Genomic DNA, 21,841 nt, shown 5'->3' on the forward strand with positions numbered 1-21,841 from the left:
GGGCTGTAATTGGGAGAACATGACGTGAGTTGGCCCACCCATTTAATATAACTCATGATTTGGCAACTGGTCTTCAGACTTATTTATTTATTTATTTATTTTTTAAGTACAATTTCCATTTTATTTTTTCTCCAGAGAATAGTCTGTCTTCAGTCTTTAAGGACTCAGCTCCTTATATGGGCTTTGGTAGGGGAGGTGGGGCAGCACCCGCAGGTCTAAATCGGGGTGGGGGTGTTCGGTCCTTGCGGGCTTCACAAGATTGATTCCTGACTACTTTGTTGTGAATTGCACAACTCACACAGTAATGTAGCTTCACATACAGCTTGGGAAGCACATAGGCATCGAAGATGCCCGCTTCAGAAATGTCCCTGACTGCTGCGGCCTCCACTATGTTTCGAATGACGAATTTCTTAATGGCCTTGTCCTTGGGCACGCATTGGGCACAGTTAGTGCAGCAAATAGGCTGCACGTGGCCATGGCCCTTTTTGGCACGACCGTTGTTCCTTCTTTTGTCATCTTGGAGGCACAGACTGGAGAGACTTCAGACTTATTTTAAATGAAAAGCAATTGGTTTTATTTTGTTGTTTTGCTTTCCTTAAATACACCACTGGTATGACTTTCCAAATCGCCTGACTTGAATAGAAAAAAGGAAAATGAAATGCTTTACTGAGCTTTATTTTAGCAGGTGTCAAATTTCAGTAATTGAAGGTTCATTTCCAATGGTTTACTTCATTAACTAATTTCCCAAGAAATATTCTTTCACCTCTGACCATACTAGCCAACTCTGTGCAGTTAACACAAACCTGAAGAAGCCATACAAATTATACCTACTGGTCTCAGAAGCACCTAAGTTTGCTTTTCCAATGTTGTAACAAAGTACCTTTCATCCCCTTTATAGGACTCTGTTATAGGCTATTGCAGTAATTTAAAACCTATGTACCTAGACTCCTGACCTTGTTATAACATCACTTTATAATTCTCAAAATACTTGGCTCTTGAAGATTTTCTTAGCACCAGCCATGTATTCTTAAAGAGCCCAGACGATTTGTCTTCAGTGTTATATTACCCTCCTCAGCTGCTAAGACCTAACATTCTTATTGAATTGTCTGACAAAAAATCCTTCAGTTCCTTCATCATTTCACAGGCTAACATGGCATTCAGTTATTAGCATTCTCCACGTAAAGAAATACCCTCGCACGGAATAGTAGCACTGTATGCCTTCATCAAGCTTTGGATATAGAAGCAACTCTCTTGATGGGTTCACTGTTAGTTCATCAAAATTGCTGGTCATATGGAGAAACACAGCTTTCCATATGTGACTCTAGCATAAAGGTGATCATGGAAATGGAGGACAAGTATACCAATAAGCTTCTCAACACAATACGTTTTGTTTCTCCTGTTCATCAGGTGAACGTGGACCTCAGTTGCTAGTAGAAGTCTAGAATGGGCATTATTCATTGAGAGCTTGTTACTTGGTAGCTTGGCTTTCTGGTCACTTTAGTTATACTAATGGAATACATATTGTTAATTGTGTACTGTTAGAATGTGGACTTCACCTTTGTTTTGCTTAGCTTTGCAATAGGACATACTATCTCAAAACATCCCGTACTTGTGTTGCCATCCATTACCCAGGGTTTTGCTTTTGTTTATTTATTTATTTTTTTTGAGATGGAGTCTTGCTCTGTCATCCAGGCTGGAGTGCAGTGGCACGATCTTGGCTCACTGCAAGCTCCGCCTCCTGGGTTCATGCCATTCTCCTGCCTCAGCCTCCCGAGTAGCTGGGACTACAGGCGCCTGCCGCCATGCCCGGCTAACTTTTTGCATTTTTAGTAGAGATGGGGTTTCATCATGTTAGCCAGGGTGGTCTCGATCTGACCTTGTGATCCGCCCGCCTCGGCCTCCAAAAGTGCTGGGATTATAGGCGTGAGCCACCACGCCCGGCCCAGGGTTTTGCTTTTGACTCAACTGTAAAGCTATTGAAAAGTTAGATCAGTTGCATTTATTTGGACTCCACTGACACAGAATATGATAAATTGACATGACAGGAAAAAAATCAAATGAGATTACAGAGGATATCCTAACTCCTAAATTGTGAATTCTTTATAGATTTTAACACATTGTTAATAATAATAGTGATATTTGACCTGTATATTGAACAAGACCTCTGTGTGGAAACACTTGACTAGCTGTCTGCATTACTGAGGTTGGACACATTTAATATTTCTAGGAAAACACTTTTTGGCTGAAAACAATAAATCAGTTTGATTCACCCAAGACCTCCAATTCAGGACAACCCTATGGAAACATGCAGGGAAACTAGCCTATGTGGATGAACTGGGAAATAATTGGACTAATGCAAAATTTAAATATGAAATTTTAATTTGGCCACTAGTCAAAACTTTAACAAAGGTTTTCTTATTTACTTTTGACTCCAAAATAAATAGAACTCAGGAAAAAGCTTTCTTTTCTCTTTTGGGCTGTGTTTAGATTTCTTTGGCCAACATTCCTGATCAATTTCATCTTTTTAATCTAAACTGGCTTCTCCCTGATTAGAGCTTAGTAAAATGGATGAGAAGAAAAAATAAGATTAGGGGAAATTGTTTTTAATACCTGTTGATATAAGCATCTAGTTATTGATTTGTAATTATGAGGACAGATATGCTTATAAAAGGTCCTGCTTTTGGGCAATCAGGAGAACCTGGTAAGAGAAGGAAGAGGACTTGTTGGGCAGATTGACAGGTGTGCCAGAGTATGAACCAATAAATTTGTGGGTGGAATTGTCATTACTTTTGTGAGACAGGGATTAATCTTTGTTTTTATTAGCTCTCCAGAAATAGAGATAAAGGTCAGGAATTGGTAACTGAAGGAATCAGTTTGAAACAAGCCTCCTCTGAGCTATTTTGAAACTTGCTGAATGTGGTACTCTCAGCCCTTTGGACGTCCAAGAATTGAGATCTAAAAAGCTTCTTAAGGCCCAGCCTCTTAACTGGATGCTGAGGGCCTCTGAGAAAACATGGAGTCATGGCTGTTCTAATGGAGTCATCCATCACTGCCAACTGCTTGCTGGAAAAAATAGGGGTCTTTCACAAGAGCCTCATAACCTTCAGGGATTAGAAGCCTGTGCCAGGCTGACTGTTACAATGGCATGCCATTGAAGGTCTTCTCTTGACCACTGCTTACAGGTAATCATGAAGGTCTGTAATTCAGGGCATACGGTGTCTTTTTCTTCTCTTTTTGCTGTTTCTGTGTCACTTCTTTCTTTGTGTCTCCCTTCCTTCTTTCCTTCAATCAATAAATAGTAAAAGGCATTTGTGCACAGCTTGACTTAGGAAAATGTGGCTGGTGGGGTTTTGAAATAGTTGTTTGCTACTCCATTATGCCATTTGGTCCAGGTGGTGGTGGGTGGCAATGGATAAATGAGCCTGTTGGCATGCCCATAAGCCCAAGAGTTGGATCTGATCTAGCATGCATATGCCATGAAGGAATTGTGTCTTTTGAAGGCATGGTGACAGGGCCCATTTTACTTATAGTACAGTGAAACCTTGAAACACATGTATTGTGGAGAGAATCTTCCAGGCAGTAGCTTAGGAGACACTCTTATCCTCACTTTTGGGCCCAGCTCAGGTTTAGCTGAACATGGAGTTTCAGAAGATAGGTATTTGGGGACACCACCAGGTGTTAAAATTGCATATTAATCAGGTGGTTATTGGGATACTGTAGAGATTTTTCAAGTCTAGTAATTTTGGAGGGAGGAAGATGGGAAAATATTGTGAGCTTGTTCTTGAAATTTTCATTCTGAAATAAGACTTCATGAGAGAATGTAGGGTAGTGATAATAGGTTTGGGCCAGTTGTCAGGAGACATGTGGCTTGGGAGATCATGTTTGAAGACCTTGAGTTACCTTTTGACCATATCTCAGTCATGATTTTAATCACATCCTCAGCCATTTGAATTATTTAGCATCTTTTTGAAATTACATATTTTACTCCTAATTATATGACAAAGATATATACCATGAAATATTTATCATGTAATTATGATTAAAATGTGCAGTCTCCCCAAAGATGTGAATAATCACTTTAAGTATTCTATATTTAATTAAAGGAGTCTGGTGGACTGTGCTGGGTCAACTTGGTTAAGCTGAGAACTACATTTCCCAGCATCCCCTTCCCTATATGCTTCTGAGTTAGAGCTGGCCAAAAGGGGAACACACACGGACAGGGAAGGCTGAAGAAACATGGTGGCCATTATCTTTTGGGTTTCTTTGCTGTCAGGTGCAGTGATGGATGGTTGCAGAGGTGCCTGATAGAGTTTAGCTTCTCTTTACTCATTGGCTTTGCCCAAGGGCCCGCCACCAGATGCTTGGCTACAGACCCACAGGACATTAACTACACAGCCTTTCCTCAGATCCTTTTGCAGTTCTGTGGTGGCTAAACGTGCCTGGCCTCTCTGACTGCTTGTGTTTGCCGATCCTCCAGCACCCCGTCCAGACCTTCATGCCTCCCCAACAGCTCCTCCCACAACTACAAGGTCAGATTCCTATAATCAAGCCCTATTCCATGAGCCCCTGGGACTCTGCTTCCCTGTCTGAACCCTGACTGGATACAAGGAGTAAGAGAGTTACAGGCAAGTGTGAATGAAGTCTGTTCAAAAGGGCTTTCGTTCTTTCAAAGCCTTTTGCTTTTAAAGTTGTTGTGAAGGGCAAATGTTTAGAGGTGGATGAAGGTGCTAAAACCTTTCAGCTCCTGTGGTCTCTAGAACATAATGGGAGTCTTTTTCATATGAAGATGATCCTTCTGACCCTCCACCATTTCTGAAGGTGGATTTGTGCTGATCAGACAAATTCAGATTTGTGAAACCTAAAACAGAATCAATACTCACCGCGTGTCTATTTCTGTCCTTCATCCCTTCGTCTCTCTTTCCCTCTCATGACCCTTATGCTTCTAGGACTTGTGGTGGGGATTTTTTATTAGAGGTGCAGGTTTTTTATTTTTTATTAGAGGTTCCTAGACAAGGAATACAGCAAATCCATGCCCTTGACCTCACTCAGGAACATGCCTTAATGTGCTTAGCTCACCAGTCACCACAGTACTGTCTTTGTGGATCACGTTTTGTTTTCCTAAAAGATTCATTCATTTGTCCATCCATCCATCCATCCATCCATCATCCATTCACCCATTCACGCATTCATTCATCTCTTGAACCTAACATTTCTGACCTAGCCTTGGACATAGCATTGAGTTTAGGAAGCTGGGCTCTATAGTGGACCTATCAGGCTTGAATGCAGGTGCTGTAACTCCCTAGCTATGGGATTTGGGATCATTATTTAACTTTTGAGCCTTGCGTTCTTACCTTTAAGTGGTGATAATAACAATGCCTATTGCATAGGGTTGTTATATGTATTAGGTGAGATAGCAGATATAAAGTGATTAACACCATGCACAGTGTTAATTGCTGTTATTGTTATTATTCAAAGATGAATCACATGTGACCTTTGCCTTCAAGAAACATATAGTTTACTGGGATGGGACAGGCATATAAATCAGCCAAGTGGCCTGAAGCTGAGAGAAAGGAGACATTAATTAGTGCTACTTAGAAAGAAGCCCTCTTTCCCTGACCTTGAAAGGGATGTGAATAAGCAAACACATTTGAATAAGTTCCAAAGTTACCCAAAGTCATTTCCAGTTCCCTCATATGTCATTTCTTTTGAGTTGTCATACATTTTTGTATTTGCTTCTTCCCTTTTATGTAAGCAGGCATTTTCTCTCTTAAGCCTAGAGATATTAGAGTTGTAGTGGATGAACATTATGTAGATACATATAAAATTTAAATACTTTGCATAATCATTATGAAAATCATTGTTAAGAAAAAGTTTCCCAAGCTATTGCTTTGCCACCATAATCTCTGCATGGGGGCTCTTTCAGTCCTGGACTAAGCCCCTTTTTGAGGATGGTACCCAAAGCCACAGAACTATGTACATGCCCCTCTCCACCCCCAACACCTCCCTAATATATTTAAGTGGACACCAGATGGATACTTGACTCAAGGGCATTTGATTTCCTGGTTGGCCTGAAGACAGTGACCTTGGACTTTAGTTGTCCTTCTCAAGAAAGATGAGCTGGATCAACTGGAATTCATTCCTAGGGCACTAAAGAGACTGAACCCATTGGTGGTGGTCTTTGCAGCTAGTTGGAGGGTCCTGTGGATTTGGGGGCTGGGGAAGCCACTTCTGGTCCACATGCAAGCAGGTGAGAAAGTTGAGAAGGGAGCAGAGGTATGCATTGAGGAGCAGAGATCTTGAGGCCCCTGAGAAATGGAGGTCTTGCCTTCATTGAGACTTGGTCTAGGGATATGTTTTGCAATGGCATCTGGGCTATATTTTCTAACACACATCCTGCATACCTAACTTTGTTGGGTATGCAGAAATGTAACCTTTGTTGGGAAACATACCCTTGGTTGGGTATGCAGATCTTGTAGAACTGGGATACAATTCTACAGGATCACTTGTAGGGCTTTTTTCTGTTCTGCATTGTAGTTAAAAATCAGTTGGCTAAAAATTGACAAATGTGATCTAATTAAACTAAAGAGCTCTGCACAGCAAAAGAAGCTATTATCAGTGAACAGGCAACCTACAGAATGGGAGAAAATTTTTGCAATCTATCCATCTGACAAAGGACTAATATCCGGACTCTACAAAGAACTTAAACAAATTTACAAGAAAAAAACAACCCCATCAAAAAGTAGGCGAAGGATATGAACAGACACTTCTCAAAAGAAGACATTTATCTGGCCAACAAACATGTGAAAAAAAGCTTATAATCACTGGTCATTAGGGAAATGCAAATCAAAACCACAATGTGATACCATCTCATGCCAGTTAGAATGGCTATCATTAAAAAGTCAGGAAACAAGAGATGCTGGAGAGGATGTGGAGAAATAGGAACACTTTTACATTGTTGATGGGAGTGTAAATTAGTTCAACCTTTGTGGAAGATAGTATGGCAATTCAAGGATCTAGAACCAGAAATACCATTTGACCCAGCAATCCTATTACTGGGTATATACCCGAAGGATTATACATAATTCTACTGTAAAGACACATGCACACATATGTTTATTGTTCTGTACTGTTCGCAATAGCAAAGACTTGGAGTCAACCCAGATGCCCATCAATGATAGACTAGATAAAGAAAATGTGGCACATATATACCATGGAATACTATGCAGCCATAAAAAAGGATGAGTTCATGTCCTTTGCAGGGATATGGATGAAGCTGGAAACCATCATTCTCAGCAAACTAACACAGGAACAGAAACCCAAACACCGCATTTTCTCACTCATAAGTGGGAGTTGAACAATGAGAACACATGGACACAGGGAGGGGAACATCACACACCAGGGCCTGTCGAGGGGTGGGGGGCTAGGGGAGGGATAGCATTAGGAGAAATACCTAATGTAGATGACGGGTTGATGGGTGCAGCAAACCACCATGGCACATGTATACCTATGTAACAAATCTACACGTTTTGCACATGTATCCCACAACTTAAAGTATAATAATAATAACAAATCAATTGGCTATTAATCACCAGATATATGCTATTCCATTTACATTTGGGAGCTTTATTTTTGGAGGTACAAACCCTACCCAATTTTCTGGTGAGTTTGTAAGGCAATCCAATCTTGCGCCTTCAGCATTTAATGTGTGCCACAGTTCAAAGAGGACCAGCTGGGTGTGTGCTCTTCATGGTTTCCACTGGGAGAAGAATTTTGTCAATAACTGGGAAGCAACAAGTTCATGTGAGAACTGCAGCATGGCTCATGAAGATCCTTTTCAGGGCAGTTCCCATTTTCTGAAGTGTGCGGGTGCTGTCTTAGTGAGCAAAGTGGAGCTTGCACTGAGGTTTTACTAGAAAGAAAATTGAAGCAGCACAAAAAACATCTTGAAATCGTATGACTTGTAGAATGGAAAATTCCAAATCAGGCAGCCCGTGGCTCGAATCCTAGCTTTGCCAGTGATTAGCTATGTGATCCGGGGCAAATTTTCTACATCCTAGGCTCCAGCTGCCTCATTTGTTAAAGACAACCCAAAATATTGTTAGGAAGATTAAATGAAAATGTATGTAACATATTTAATCCAGTGCCTGGCATATAGTGATAACTCAATACATGCTAATTATTGATATTTTAAAAAATATTATCGCTAGTATTATATATAAATATATTAAATATATGTAAATATATATTAATTTATATATAATACTAGCCATTATTTGTTTTCAAATAATATATATGGCATATATATGCCTTCAAAAAGAATATATATATTTTGTATGTATATATCTTCAAAAGGAGCATATATATTTTATAGAGAGAGATATATATATTCCTTTTGAAGATGGTCTTTGACCAAAGAAGCCAAAAAATAAATAAAAATTTCTATTTTTTTTCTTTTGGGCTATACGAATGTCATGTTATTCTGTAACATTAGATTCTTAGGGCATTCATTAAATCTAATATTCTTTTCCTAATGGGAGAGAACTTTTTATTTCAGGCAGTGCATTATGTAACTACATCTTCCTAATTTCCATTTTATTCTCCAGTCTCTTTCAAAACATAAGTTGAGTTATAAACTCTGAACTGCTAATGTGGGAGTGGGAGTCCACCTCTGAGGATGCCTACAGTGCTCTCTAGTATTAATAAAGTCCCTGCTACTGCAGTGAGATGCCACCTCACCCATTAGGATAGCCGTTATTAAAATTCCAGAAAATAGCAAGTGTAGGTGAGGATGTGGAGAGATTAGAACTCTTGTGTACTGCTAGTAGGAATGTAAAATGGTGCAGTCTCTACGTAAAGCAGTATAGTGGTTTCTCAAAAAAATTAAACAGAATTACCATATGATCCAGCAATTCTGCCTCTGGGTATATACCTAAAGGAAATGAGAGCAGGGACTTGAAGAGATACTTGTACACTCATGTTCATACAGCATTATTCACAACAGCCAAAAGATAGAAACAACTCAAGTGCCCATCGATGGATGAATGAATAAAGAAAATGTGTATACACACAATGGAATATTAGCCTTAAAAGAAGAGAAATTCTGACATATGCTACAACATGGATGAACCCCCTCAGAACAGTATGCTAAGTGAAATAAGCTAGATGTGAAAAGACAACTACTGTATGATTCCACTTACGTGAAGTGTCTAGAGTAATCAAATTCATAGAGACAGAGAGTAAAACGGTGGTTGCCAGAGGCTGGGAAAAGGGTGGATTTGGGGAGTTATTGCTTAATGAGTACAGAATTTCAGTTTGGGAAAATGAAAAAGTTGTGGAGTGGATGGTGAGATGGTTGCACAACTATGTGAATGTACTTAATGCCACTGAAATGTACACTTAAAAATGGTTAAAGTAATAAATTTTATGTACATTTTAACCCACACATCTTAACAAAGTGTTCAGCACACAGTCTGAATAAACACTGGCTGCCTTAAAAAAAAAAAAAAAAGGGCCTCTTGGGTTTGTGTTATTATGCCCTGGAGGTACAGCCTCATGACCAAGGTTTGACTGATTTCATCTCCACCTGAATCACCTAGTCGTACCCCACAGCAAGCAAAATACGGCTTTGCAGAAATGTAGCAGAGGGGAAAAAAGAATGTCCTTTCTGATTCTTGCTAGATTCTTGCTTGTCTTTCCAATTCTTCCACCTTCTTCTTTTTTTTTTTTTTTTGAGATGGAGTCTCGCTCTGTTGTGCAGGCTGGAGGGCAGTGGCGCCATCTCGGCTCACTGCAGCCTCCGTCTCCTGGGTTCAAGCAATTCTCCTACCTCAGCCTCCCGAGTAGCTGGAATTACAGGGGCCCGCCACCATGCCCATCTAATTTTTGCATTTTTAGTAGAGACGGGGTTTCACCATGTTGGCCAGGACAGTCTCGAACTCCTGACCTCAGGTGATCCACCCACCTCAGCCTCCCAAAGTTCTGGGATTACAGGCGTGAGCCACCACATCCAGCCTCAATTTGCCCACCTTCTTTAGGCTTATTCTTCTGTTCTCTTTCTGACTTCTTCTTTTTTTTTTTTTTTTTTTTTTTTTTTGAGGCAGAGTCTCGCTCTGTCGCCCAGGCTGGAGTACAGTGGCACTATCTCGGCTCACTGCAAACTCCACCTCCTGGGTTCATGCCATTCTCCTGCCTCAGCCTCCCAAGTAGCTGGGACTACAGGCGCCCGCCACCATGCCTGGCTAATTTTTTGTAGTTTTAGTAGAGACGAGGTTTCACCATGTTAGCCAGGATGGTCTCGATCTCCTGACCTTGTGATCCGCCCACCTCAGCCTCCCAAAGTGCTGGGATTACAGGCATGAGCCACCATGCCCGGCCTCTTTCTGACTTCTTAAGCTAAATACAATAGTCACAAATTCTCAATCTTTCTCATTTAAAAATAAATTTATATAAAGTTACACATTTACTTTCAAATACGTCCTTTACTACATCTCACACCATTTTTTTTTTTTTTTTTTTTTTTTTTTAAGCAACAGGGTCTTGCTCTGTCACCCAAGTGAGAGTCCAGTGGTGTGATCATTGCTTACTGTAGCCTCCACCTCTTGGGCTCAAGTGATCCTCCCACCTCAGCCTCCTAAGTAGCTGGGATTACAGGTGCACATCACCGTGCCTGACTAATTAAAAAAAAATTTTTTTTTAAATCTGTGGAGACAAGGTCTCACTATGTCGTCGAGGCTGGTCTCAAACTCCTGGACCCAAACAATCCTCCCCTGTTAGCCCTCCCAAAGTGCTGGTATTACACGTGTGAGCTACCATGCCTGGCCCATCTCAAAAGTTTTGATGTGAGATATTTCATAATTGTTTGGTTCTACATACTTATGATTTCCACTGAGATTTCCTCTTTTACCATAAATTACTGAGATGTATATTTTTAAGCTTACAAACATGTGGGCTATTTTTTATTGCTCATTTATAACTTAATGGCAGTGTAGTCAGAGTCATCTGAATGATACCAATTTTTGTGATTTGTTAAGTTTTCCACTGTAACACAATTAATCTTTATAAATGGCTTATAATACACTTGCAAATAACTTTCTCTATTTGTTAGGTACAATGATGAATTTTTATATTCATTAGATTGTTAATTGTGTTATTCAGTTATCTTCTGTTCTTATTAAATTTTGACCTACATTATCTATCAATTTTTCTGATATGTTAAGATCTCTCATTATGTTGATTTGTCAGTTTCTGCTTTAAATTCTGTTTTTGCTTTATGTAATTTGTTACTTGTTTTGCTTTAATATTTTTAATGTATGTAATGAATTATGTAATTTTGAGGCTGTGTTATTAGTTGCATACAAGTTTATGATTATTAATAATTATTATATCCTCTAGGTGAATTTTTTTCCTTTATTATTACAAAGTATGCCTCTTCATCCCTATTAACACCTTTGGCTTTACATATTAACTGATGCAACATTCTGTGAGCTTTATTTTGGTTAATATTTGCATGTGACATATATTTATGTTTTATTATTTTCAGTCTTTCTTGTGGGTTTCAGGTGTGTCTGTTTTTTTTTTTTTTTTTTGAGATGGAATCTTGCTCTGTTGCCCAGGTTGGAGTGCAGTGGCATGATCTTGGCTCACTGCAACCTCCTTCCCCTGTGTTCAAGCGATTCTCCTGCCTCAGCCTCCCTAGTAGCTGGGATTACAGGTGTGTGCCACCACATCTGGCTAGTTTTTGTATTTTTAGTAGAGACGGGGTTTCACCATGTTGGCCAGGCTGGCCTTGAACTCCTGACCTCAAGTGATCTGCCTGTCTTGGCCTCCCAAAATGCTGGGATTACAGGTGTGAGCCACCATGCCCGGCCAGGTGTGTCTATTTTAAGCATCATATAGCTAGATTAAAAATGCAAATGCAGTATAATAATTTCAGTCTTTAAATAGGTAGATTTAATCCATTTAGATTTCTTTGTGATTAGTAATATATATGAGTTTATTTCTTCAGTTCTGCTGCCTTATTTAGGTATTTTTACTTATAATGCTTTTGTTTTCTCTTTCTTCCTCCTCTGCCTTTTGTTGGATTGATAGTTTTTCATATTTCTCCCCTCTTCCCCACCTCACTTCTGGCTTGAAAGCTATAGATTGATAGTTACCTTTAAAGTATTCTATCTATTTTCCATCAAACTCTATAGTTATTCAATAATTCTAGCTTCTTTCCAATAGTAACAGTCATTTCTCACGTTACCTACTCACAGATCACTCCCTTTAACTATCTTATAATTGCTATTTATAGTTTTATTTTTCTTCAATTTTAAAATATCAAAGTTAGTTATTTTATAGTTCAGCAGTTAATTACTTATATTAATATACTATGTATGTATGTGTGTATGTATATATATCTGCCAATAGTTGCTCTTTACCTTTGAGTTACTTTTTTTCTTGCTGAAATGTATCCTTTAGTAATTTTTTGTTTTGTTTGTTTTGTAATGAGAATCTGAGTATGTTTTTGTATTCCAGATAATGTCTTTATTTTGTCCTCACTCTCAAAAGATAGTTTAGCTGGATATGAAATTCTAGGTTGATAGTTAATTTTCTCTCTGCATACTTTTTGTACATCTGTACTTCCTGTTGAGAAGTCCGCTGTGAGCCTAACTATTGTTCCTTTAGAAGCTATCTTTCTTTCCCTCTGTGTATTAGTTAGGTTTTGCCCGAGAAACAGAATCAATAAAATAATGTGTGTGTGTGTGTATGTATACATACATACATTTATATATATAGTTATACATACACATACACACATATATATGTATAAAGATATTTATTGTAAAGAATTAGCTCATGCAACACAGAGGCTTGGCAAGTCTAAAATTTGATAGAGGAGACTGGACAATCAGGGAAGAGTTGCAGTTCAAATCCAAATGCAGTCTGGTGGTAAACAAGGAATAGCCAATGTTGCAAATGAAGTCTGAAGGCAATCTGCTGACAGAATTCTCTCTTGCTTGGGGAAGGTCAGCCCTTTGTTCTGTTCAGGTCTTCAGCAGATTGGATGAACCCCACCCATATTATGGAGAGCAATTTGCTTTACTCAAAGTTGATTTAAATGTAAATCTCATCTAAAAACACCCTCACAGAAAAATCTAGAATAATTTCCAAATGTCTAGGTATCCTGGCCCAGCGAAGTTGACACATAAAAGTAGCCATAGCACTCTGGAAGCTATTAAGATTGTCTTTTTATTCTTTTTATTCTGCAATTTCATTGTGATATGTCTAGTTGTGGATTTATTTTCATATATTCTTGCTTAGTGCTGAAAATGTAATATACATCTTCAGTTCTTAAAGATTTTCAGCATTTGTATTTCTGAATAGTGCTTCCCCACCAGTCCCTACATTCTCTTGTTCTGGTATCCCTGCTTGGTGAATGTTGGAACCTTATAATTCTCTGTCTGTGTCTCTTAATTGCTCTTCCATATTTTAGTTTTGTTTTCTCTCCATGCTATGTTCTGGATGAGTTCCTCAGAACTCTCTGCAATTTACTAATTCTCTCTTTGTGTCTAATCCAGAATTTATTTCACCTAGTAAGTTTTCAAAAAAATTCTTGGATTTCTATTTTATTTCATATCCACCTCTTCTTGTTTTGCATTTGCTTATTTTTGATACATAATTTCTTGAATTTTTTGTTTGTTTTTTTCTTTGAGATGGAGTTTTGCTCTTGGCTGCCCAGCCTGCCCGGTTGCCCAGGCCGGAGTCCAATGGTGTGATCTCAGTTTACCACAACCTCCGCCTCCTGGGTTCAAGCAATTTTCCTGCCTCAGCCTCCCGAGTAGCTGGGATCACAGGCATGCGCCACCACACCTGGATAATTTTGTATTTTTAGTAGAGATGGGGTTTCTCCATATTGGTCAGGCTGGTCTCGAACTCCCAACCTCAGGTGATCTGCCCACCTCAGCATCTCAAAGTACTGGGATTACAGGCGTGAGTCACCATGCCCAGCCTCTTGAATTGTTTTCAATGAAGTTATACATTCATTTACCTCCTTGAATATTTTAAACATAAATGAAGGCTTTGGTACAGGGAGCTATAAAATTTTAATTTCATCTAGGGTAAATATAGATTTCAATTTTGATTTTGAGGGCTGACATACAATTTTGATTTCCAGGCTTTATTTTTTGAGACAGAGTCTTGTTCTGTTGTCCAGGCTGAAATGCAATGGCGTGATCATAGCTCACTGCAGCCTCGACCTCCTGGACTCAGGCAATCCTCCCACGTCTGGAGTAGCTGCAACTGCAGCTGTAGTGGTAAACTCCCTGCCACTGCTTCCTGCTTCCAGCCCCAGAGATCAGCTATTTAAGTCCACAGAAATGTTTATTTTTTACTTTGGAGTCTGACTGTGCCTTTTTTGTTTTCTCTTATGATTTAGCTGTCATTGCTGTGGTGTTTGGAGCAGAGAGTGTTCAATGTGAGCTTATTGTGTCAACTGGTTAACTCATATGATTAAAAATTTTTGCCTTACTAATGTCACAAGATAGATGATCTGGTGGGAAACAATTAGAAAATAAAAATAAAAGAAACAATTAGAAAGTAAAAACTTCTTTTATTGGTAAGCAATTAGTATTGCTTACATTGAGAAAATAAACATTTGTTGTGTTTGCAAATCTTAGTCCAGATGGACCTTCTTTCAGAATTTGTTCTACTCTCACTACCAGTATGATCATCAGTCGGGAGAAAGTATCACTGGTCTTGGCAGCTGGTGGCAGGATGACTTTGCCCTGATCATTTCAAGTTTTGGTATGAAATGGAGATTGTGCCATCCTTATCTACCTCATTGGCGAGAACATGTGTTAAAGCTCTTTGAAATACATTGGGATGCTATAGTATGGTGAGTGCTATTACTAATGCTCCTTGTTTATACTCATTGGAGAGGACAGCATTGTGTGGCCCAGGGAAATAGTTTTGGAAGCAGGTGGATCTGTGTTTTGATTCTGGGTTTCCCTTATTTTTTGTGTGATCTTAGCAGGCAAGTCAGTTAACCTGACTCATCGTGAAATGATATTATACTGTGTGCTTTTTTTTTCTGTTTACCTGGGATAGGACGTTGGCTTCCTCTTTGTTTCCTATCACCCAAACACTTCATTAGTGCCAAATTCCATCTCGGAGTTAAATGAGGGGACCTAAAATGCCCAGGGCACTTTGCCCATTATCAATCTTAAATGTGGTTTCTTTTTCCAGGGCTTTATCTATGTGAAGCTCTTCTCATATTTGCTTTGCCTTTCATTATTTCTTTTTATTTCTTGGGTATAGGGCCCTAGAACTTGAAAGTGTTTCTGAGGGACATGTCCAAGGGCCCAAGGGGACAGAGGAATAGATCAAGCTCAGCTATCTCCTGTCCTAGCTCTGCTGCCTTCTCCGCCTACCATCTCCAACCATCCCAAGGGCAGGTGTTTGTGGTGAGCACACCTATGGTGCTGGCACTTTGTCATCTCTTCTTACTATCATATTTACATGTACTGGACCAGGAAGCAATGTATTTAGACTACGGAACCTCTGTGAGGGGATAGAGAATTCAGATGAGGTATGGTAGGTAGGAATGTCATTCCTGCCCTGCTGAGAGGTGACTGTGCTTGACATATATGAATCTGGACTTGGCCACAAGGGACTGGAAGAGGGAACTCTGAGACCTTGGCTGGTTTTAGCTTCCTCATTGCTGAAAAGGGGTGTTGCTGTTGATGGTGGCTTGAAGTCCATGGCTGAGGGAATGGCACTTTTGGTTGCTCTGGCTTCCCCTGTTCCAGGGAAGGCCCTGGTCCTCATGCAGCGGTGGGGATTGGTGGCTCTTTGTTGGGTCTCAGGGCAGGATATCTCAGGATGATATTGCAATCCCTTCCCTGACTCATTTCTTCTTTAAAATGGCCTCTTGAGAGCCTTCTTTGGCCATCTGCTAGGAATCTGACCAATACCAATTACTTTCTGAATTTTTCTTGCTCTAAAGTCAAGAAACTAAGATGGAGTGACCAGTATCAATATACTTTCCTTTTCTGGTTTCTGGGTGAAGAAAGATTAGCATTGCTGGAAGGTGAGATGGTTATATTAAATTCATTGCTTCTATGCTAAATCTTGACAAATATGAAAAGCAAAGGGAAAAAGGGGAGGGGATCCTAACTCAAGCCTGGAAGCTTTTGAATGGCTGGAAAATCATTGCATTAAGACACAATAAACATCAATCTGCAGGTATGTTATAATTTTATTTTTTTAAGATAACATTGACTGGCTGTAACTGCTTTTGTATCGAAGCAGGGAAGCCGTACCCGAACTTGAAAATCTTTCATCTGTTATCCCTAATACATACTCACAAGCACATCGCAGTCTTGAGGAAGTACAATTAAAAAGGGGGTAATCCTTTTTTCAAGTCCTCAGGTTTAATTTTCCTGATTATGGTAGATTATGAGTCATTCTGGGTCTTGGTCTCCAAGAGAGACAGCGCCTTCCCTTCAGTCCCTTTCAACAGTTGTTTATGGCAGTTTCAGCCTCTTTCTGCCGCTCGGAGGCTCTTTATTTTTAAAGCAAGGCAGACAAGGCCTAAAATTATTCCATTAAAGAGGGGCAATTTTTGTAATGGGACTTAGAGTGCTTTGCAGAAGTGCAGGCAAGTTTCTTCAATATCCTGAGCATTATTCGCTCATTTAGTTAAATGATGTTTCTAATTCCCTGGTAATTACATGTAATGAGGCACTTTTTCTCTTCTTGATGAGACTTTAGCTTAATATGAGATGGCGTATTTTTTTCTTTTTTTCTTTTTCCATGGGGATAATTACCCCTTCCCAGGAAAAGCAGGGTTTGTTGTGCAGAATATAGCAAATTATTTTATTTCCTGCCATCTTGACTGCCAGTAAATTATAAAATTAAGTTTCAGTGGCGCATTAGCACCATTTTGGAAAAGGCTCAAGACTCCATTTTTTCTTTTTCTTTTTCTCTTTCTTTCTTCTTTTTTTTTTTTTTTCAATTCATGTACTGCTTTCCTCTGGGACTGTAGAGGCTATTATTCATAGAACAGATTTTTTTTTCTGCCAATTCCTAGTATTCAGATGTATTGAAGCAGCAACATAGGTTTAATTTTTCTGGATGGTATCCAGCGTAGAATGTTCTTATAAGCGTCTTTGTGTTCAGGTAATTATCATCATAAAGTTAAGTAATATGTCCCCTCTTTTCTCTGGTCTCCTCTCACTCCTCCTTTGGATGTCAAATTACCTATTTTTGTGCAATGCTTTAATTAGGCGCAAAGCAACTAAATTTGAATCACATGAAGGTGGTGACACCAACTATTAAAAGGCAAGAAACTCAGTTAATATAGTCACTCTACTTAGCTCTTTCTGTTGTTAAAAAGCAAATTCGAGGAAAGAAAAATATGGGGAGAGCATCATTTAATTAAGGACAATGTCATGCTGAACTTTGGTTTTCTGGATTTAATTATTTTTACCAATTTTAAGAATTATATGTTTGTGTGTGTGTTTGTGCAAATGCACACTTCTGCCATTTTTTATTTTTGTTTGTGCAGAAGAAACATTTCTTTGGAAGAAGCAGCCAAATGAGATGAAAAGAGGAAAAGAGAGCTTTGGCCGGGGAGCCAGGGGGCTGGAGTTGTAGGGTAGACTCCATTTACTCCCACCTGGCTGTGTGCTTCGGGCAAGACAATCTTTTTGAGCTTCAGTTCCCTCCTGTGTAAAATGTATGAGTCGCAGCAGAGGATCTCCAGTCTTTAGAAACTTGAAAGATCTTCCTATCAGTTAGCAAAAGAACCATGTCGTTGGGGTTATAGCAAAGTAGCCCAGATTTAAAGTTTGAGGTTGGATTGTTGTTGTCATTTTTTGCCCCCCACCACCTGCTCTATCATCCCTTGTAAAGATGCTGGTTCCCAGGGATCCAGGTGCCCCCATCTCCTGTCTTGCTGATGGTCGTATGGTTCCTGTTTGGGTTCTACTAAACTTCTAGGCCTGGAAAGTAGGGAGATGCCACCAGTGCCCTGTCCACGCAGGATCAGTGTTTCAGGTGCGAGTGAACCAGGGTCATTCGCTGCAGAGGGAGATGCCACCCAGTGCCCTGTCCACCCAGGATCAGTTTCAGGTGTGAGTGAACCGGGATGCCCTGTCCACACAGGGTCAGTGTTTCAGGTGCGAGTGAACCAGGGTCATTCGCTGCAGAGGGAGATGCCACCCAGTGCCCTGTCCACCCAGGATCAGTTTCAGGTGTGAGTGAACCGGGATGCCCTGTCCATACAGGGTCAGTGTTTCAGGTGTGAATGAACTGGGGTCCTTCACTGCAGCCCTCAGTTTCCCTTGAGTCATGGGTAGCCTAATATTTTCCTTTTCTTGAGGGCAGCCGGAGAATTTTTTTGTTTGTTTGCATATTTGAAATCAACAGCAGTGTTCTGAAAATAATACCGTCCTTTTCAGATAAATGTCAAAAGACTGATGTGAGCTGATTTCTTCATGTTTGGGGAATGGGGAATGTTTACCAAAATGATAAATCTTTCTCACTTGTATAATTAGCCTGCAATAAAAACCTCCCATCCGGAGTTTTTATTTTAAGAAACTGCTGTTTGGAATAATTCTGTTATAGGATAGTTATGTTGGTCACTTCACTGTTTCACTTGGGATCACCGAGGAGGCTCATGCCGGCTTCCTGATGGGTCCTCCATAGGCATAGCTCCAGGCACGTGCCTTCTCAGCTCAGCACCCTTCAGGAGCTCCATGATGACCACATCACAGTGTAAACTCTGAATCTCAGCGTGGACCAGAGGTGGGCCCAGAGTCAGATGGATTCGGGTCTGAGTCTTAGATCTGCCACTCACAGAGTCTGTGATCTTGGGCAAGTTGCTTACCATTTCTGAGCCTGTTTTCTCATCTTAAAAATGAGCATCGTAATAATACCTCGTCAGGTAAAATAAGATACATGTAAGGCACAGAGCTTGGGACTTAACTGCTGAGTAATGTGAACTGCTGGTATTATTGTTGTTATGATTACTACCTCACCTTTTACTGCTTGCCTAGATGTATGTGTGCCACATCCCAACCACTGGTTCCTAACTCACCCCAGGCTCTCCTGTCCTTGTGCCTCTGTTTATACAGGTTTCTCTGCCCAGCATATTTTCCCTTTCTTACTTCCCCTGCCATTCATTTATTCATCTCCATTCATTTATTCATCTCCATTCATTTATTCATCAAATACTTATGGGGAGCATCCATGATGTGCCAGTCCTATTGGCCTGTTGGGCTCATCTCAGACACAGCTTTGGTGACTGTCCTAGTGGGAAGGGCCCTCTGCATCCCCCACAGGCCTGCAGGCCCATGCTTTGCTGTGGCCACATATAACGCACAGGGCCCTCTCTCAGTCACTCCTGTTCTCCTCTTTTCCACGTTGGTCCTAGTACATCATTTCCCATGGAGGAGCTATGTGAACAGAGACTGAATTGAGGGAAATCACTTTTGGAATCCCAGCCCTCTCCTCAGGCGCCAGTGGAGCATGAGCTGTGCTGTGGATGAAGTCCGTTGGCACAGTGAGTCCCTGGGATGGAACCTGCACTCGCTGCTTGACCCATGGCTGGGTGAGTGGTGAAGCGGTCAGCACAAGCTTCTAGCCCAGGCTTCCCTCTTAGCAGCATGTGGCCTTGGGCATGTCACAGAGTCTCCCTTCCCTCTCCCCCATTTTCTCTTCTGTCAACCGAGCATAACTGACGCTACAATCTCACTGACAGATGGTGAGCGAGGATGGAGTGAGCGGGCATGTGCGGCTCTTAGCTCCATGCATGGCTCACCGACGTTGGCCGCTCTTGTTATCATTACAGTGATGATTATTAGCCTTTCTACATGACAGATTCTCAAACCTGGCTGCTACCCATGAGAATCATGTGGACAGCCCTTAAACAAAGATTCCTGGGCTCCCCCTTGAACTTCTGCACCAGAACTGCCAAGATGGAGTCCGGGAATGTGTTAGCTACGTGCTTTTAAGACGACTCTGGTGCCCAGCCTGGGAACCCACAAGGGGCATACTCCTGGCATGGGCAATGTCTGTGTTTAGTGGGGCCAAATACTGCCCCATTGAATCAAGAAGTGCACTCTATACTGGGCTGAATAGTGTCCCCTCCCAAAATTCCTGTCCACCTGGAATCCATGAATGTAACCTTATTTGGAAATAGGGTTTTTGCAGATATAATCAAGTTAAGATGAGGTCATGCTGGAATAAGATGGGCCATAAATTCAATGTAACTGGGTGTCCTTATAAGAAGAGGGGAACTTTGTACACAGAAACAGACATAGATGGAAGTTGGTCATTTGCCTGTGGAGGCAGAGATTGGAGTGATGCTGCCACAAGCCAAGAAGCGGCTACAGAAGCTGAAATAGGCAAGGACGGATTCTTCTCTAGAGGCTCTGGAAGGGGCAGACTTCTGACTTCCAGAACTGCGAGAGAATACATTCCTATTGTTTGAACCCCTCAAGTTGCGGATGATTTGTTACGGCAGCCCTAGGAAATGTGACAGGCTCCAAGTCACATTTTGAGAATCCTACACTGAGGCAGAAACTCTGCTGATGAGGCCCACTTTGTGAATAGTTGACATGCTTCCAGCTTTATAAACATCAATTCAAATCTTAGAAGAGAATTTCCCCCTCTGGGCAAAATGGGCGTTGACGTATTTTTTTAAAATGGGAGTTAAATGCTGAGGGTATAAGGCACCTCTGGCCCATATGGGACTGGCTGAGTCCCAGGTCTTCTGTCTTCCCGGCCAGGCCTGAGCATGTGCAGGGAGGAGGCCGACGACTGGCTGGGCAGATGCAAACCTCCATTTGTGTATTGCTACCTTTCCAGAGCCTCGGGGATGCTCGGTGGACACCTCACAGGAGGTGAGATTGACAGAGCCGGTTCTAGTCTTAGCTGTCTTCTTCCTTCCTGAAGGTTCCTGGACAAGTCACCTGATCTTGTGGAACCCAAGTTTCTCCACCTCTAAATGGAACACACTAAATTGTTATGAGTGAGCATCAGAGGAAATCAAGAGTGTGTGATTTAGCTCTGCATGCAACGGGCTCTGTAGATAATTTTCATTGCAGTTATTTTGACTTCACTTTGGTGAGTCGACTACCCCAGGTTTTGAAATGAACACAGGGAGGCAGAATACGTGTTGTAATCCCAGGCTACAGTTCTGGAGCCTTTATTGAAGGAGAAGACATTTTTTATTTGTAAGAATGAAAAACGGAAGGCGGGGAGCCTATGTGGCATGGAATTCAAGAAATGGAGCAACTGGCCACTGGCGATGGGAAGGCCCATGGCAGATTCTGCAAATCTCTCTGGAGTTTCTGCTTGAGTTCCTGTTCGCCGCTGTGAGCCCCTCACTCTTTCGTTGCTGAGACACCTTCACCATGGCTCAGGAGGCCACATGCTATTCCTCAGGTGGCGGAGGGCAGAGACCGAGGGAGTCGGTAAAAAGGAGAGGGCTGGAAAATTCCTCTTAGCATAAGAATAAACAGTGATTTGAATATTCAGTTGTGAGGGTTATAAATAACTGTGAGTTTTCATTGACGTGTAAGCGGTGATACATTTTGTACAATAATTAGTTATTTGATTACTTTTGTTTTAGCCTGAAGTAGAGGACAATTGACAAATGTGAATACCTCTGAGACTGATGGGGCGCAGTAAACTAACTTTATTTATTACAAAATGCAATTTTATTAATATGAATTGACAGTAATTAATTTGCTGGTGTTGATGTTGTTAATAATTGCATGTAATTTATGAAATATTCATGCTAGAGCAGAATAAAATAATGCACGGGTCCTCTGGCTTGTTTGTTAAGTCTGTG

The 21,841-nt window shown here is 40.8% G+C and overlaps 1 long non-coding RNA gene and 1 pseudogene across 1 annotated transcript; one reads left to right on the plus strand and one right to left on the minus strand.

Annotated features, from left to right (window-relative positions):
- Positions 103-539, minus strand: RPS26P39 (ribosomal protein S26 pseudogene 39; annotated as a pseudogene).
- Positions 10,525-21,816, plus strand: LOC107984275 (uncharacterized). The gene is made up of 2 exons (XR_001747613.2): positions 10,525-18,039; positions 18,162-21,816. It is a non-coding gene; the product is annotated as an uncharacterized LOC107984275 (long non-coding RNA).
- Positions 21,817-21,841: the final 25 nt, after the last annotated feature.

The sequence above is a fragment of the Homo sapiens genome, chromosome 10 (genome assembly GCF_000001405.40).
Source record: "Homo sapiens chromosome 10, GRCh38.p14 Primary Assembly".
NCBI lineage: Eukaryota > Metazoa > Chordata > Mammalia > Primates > Hominidae > Homo > Homo sapiens.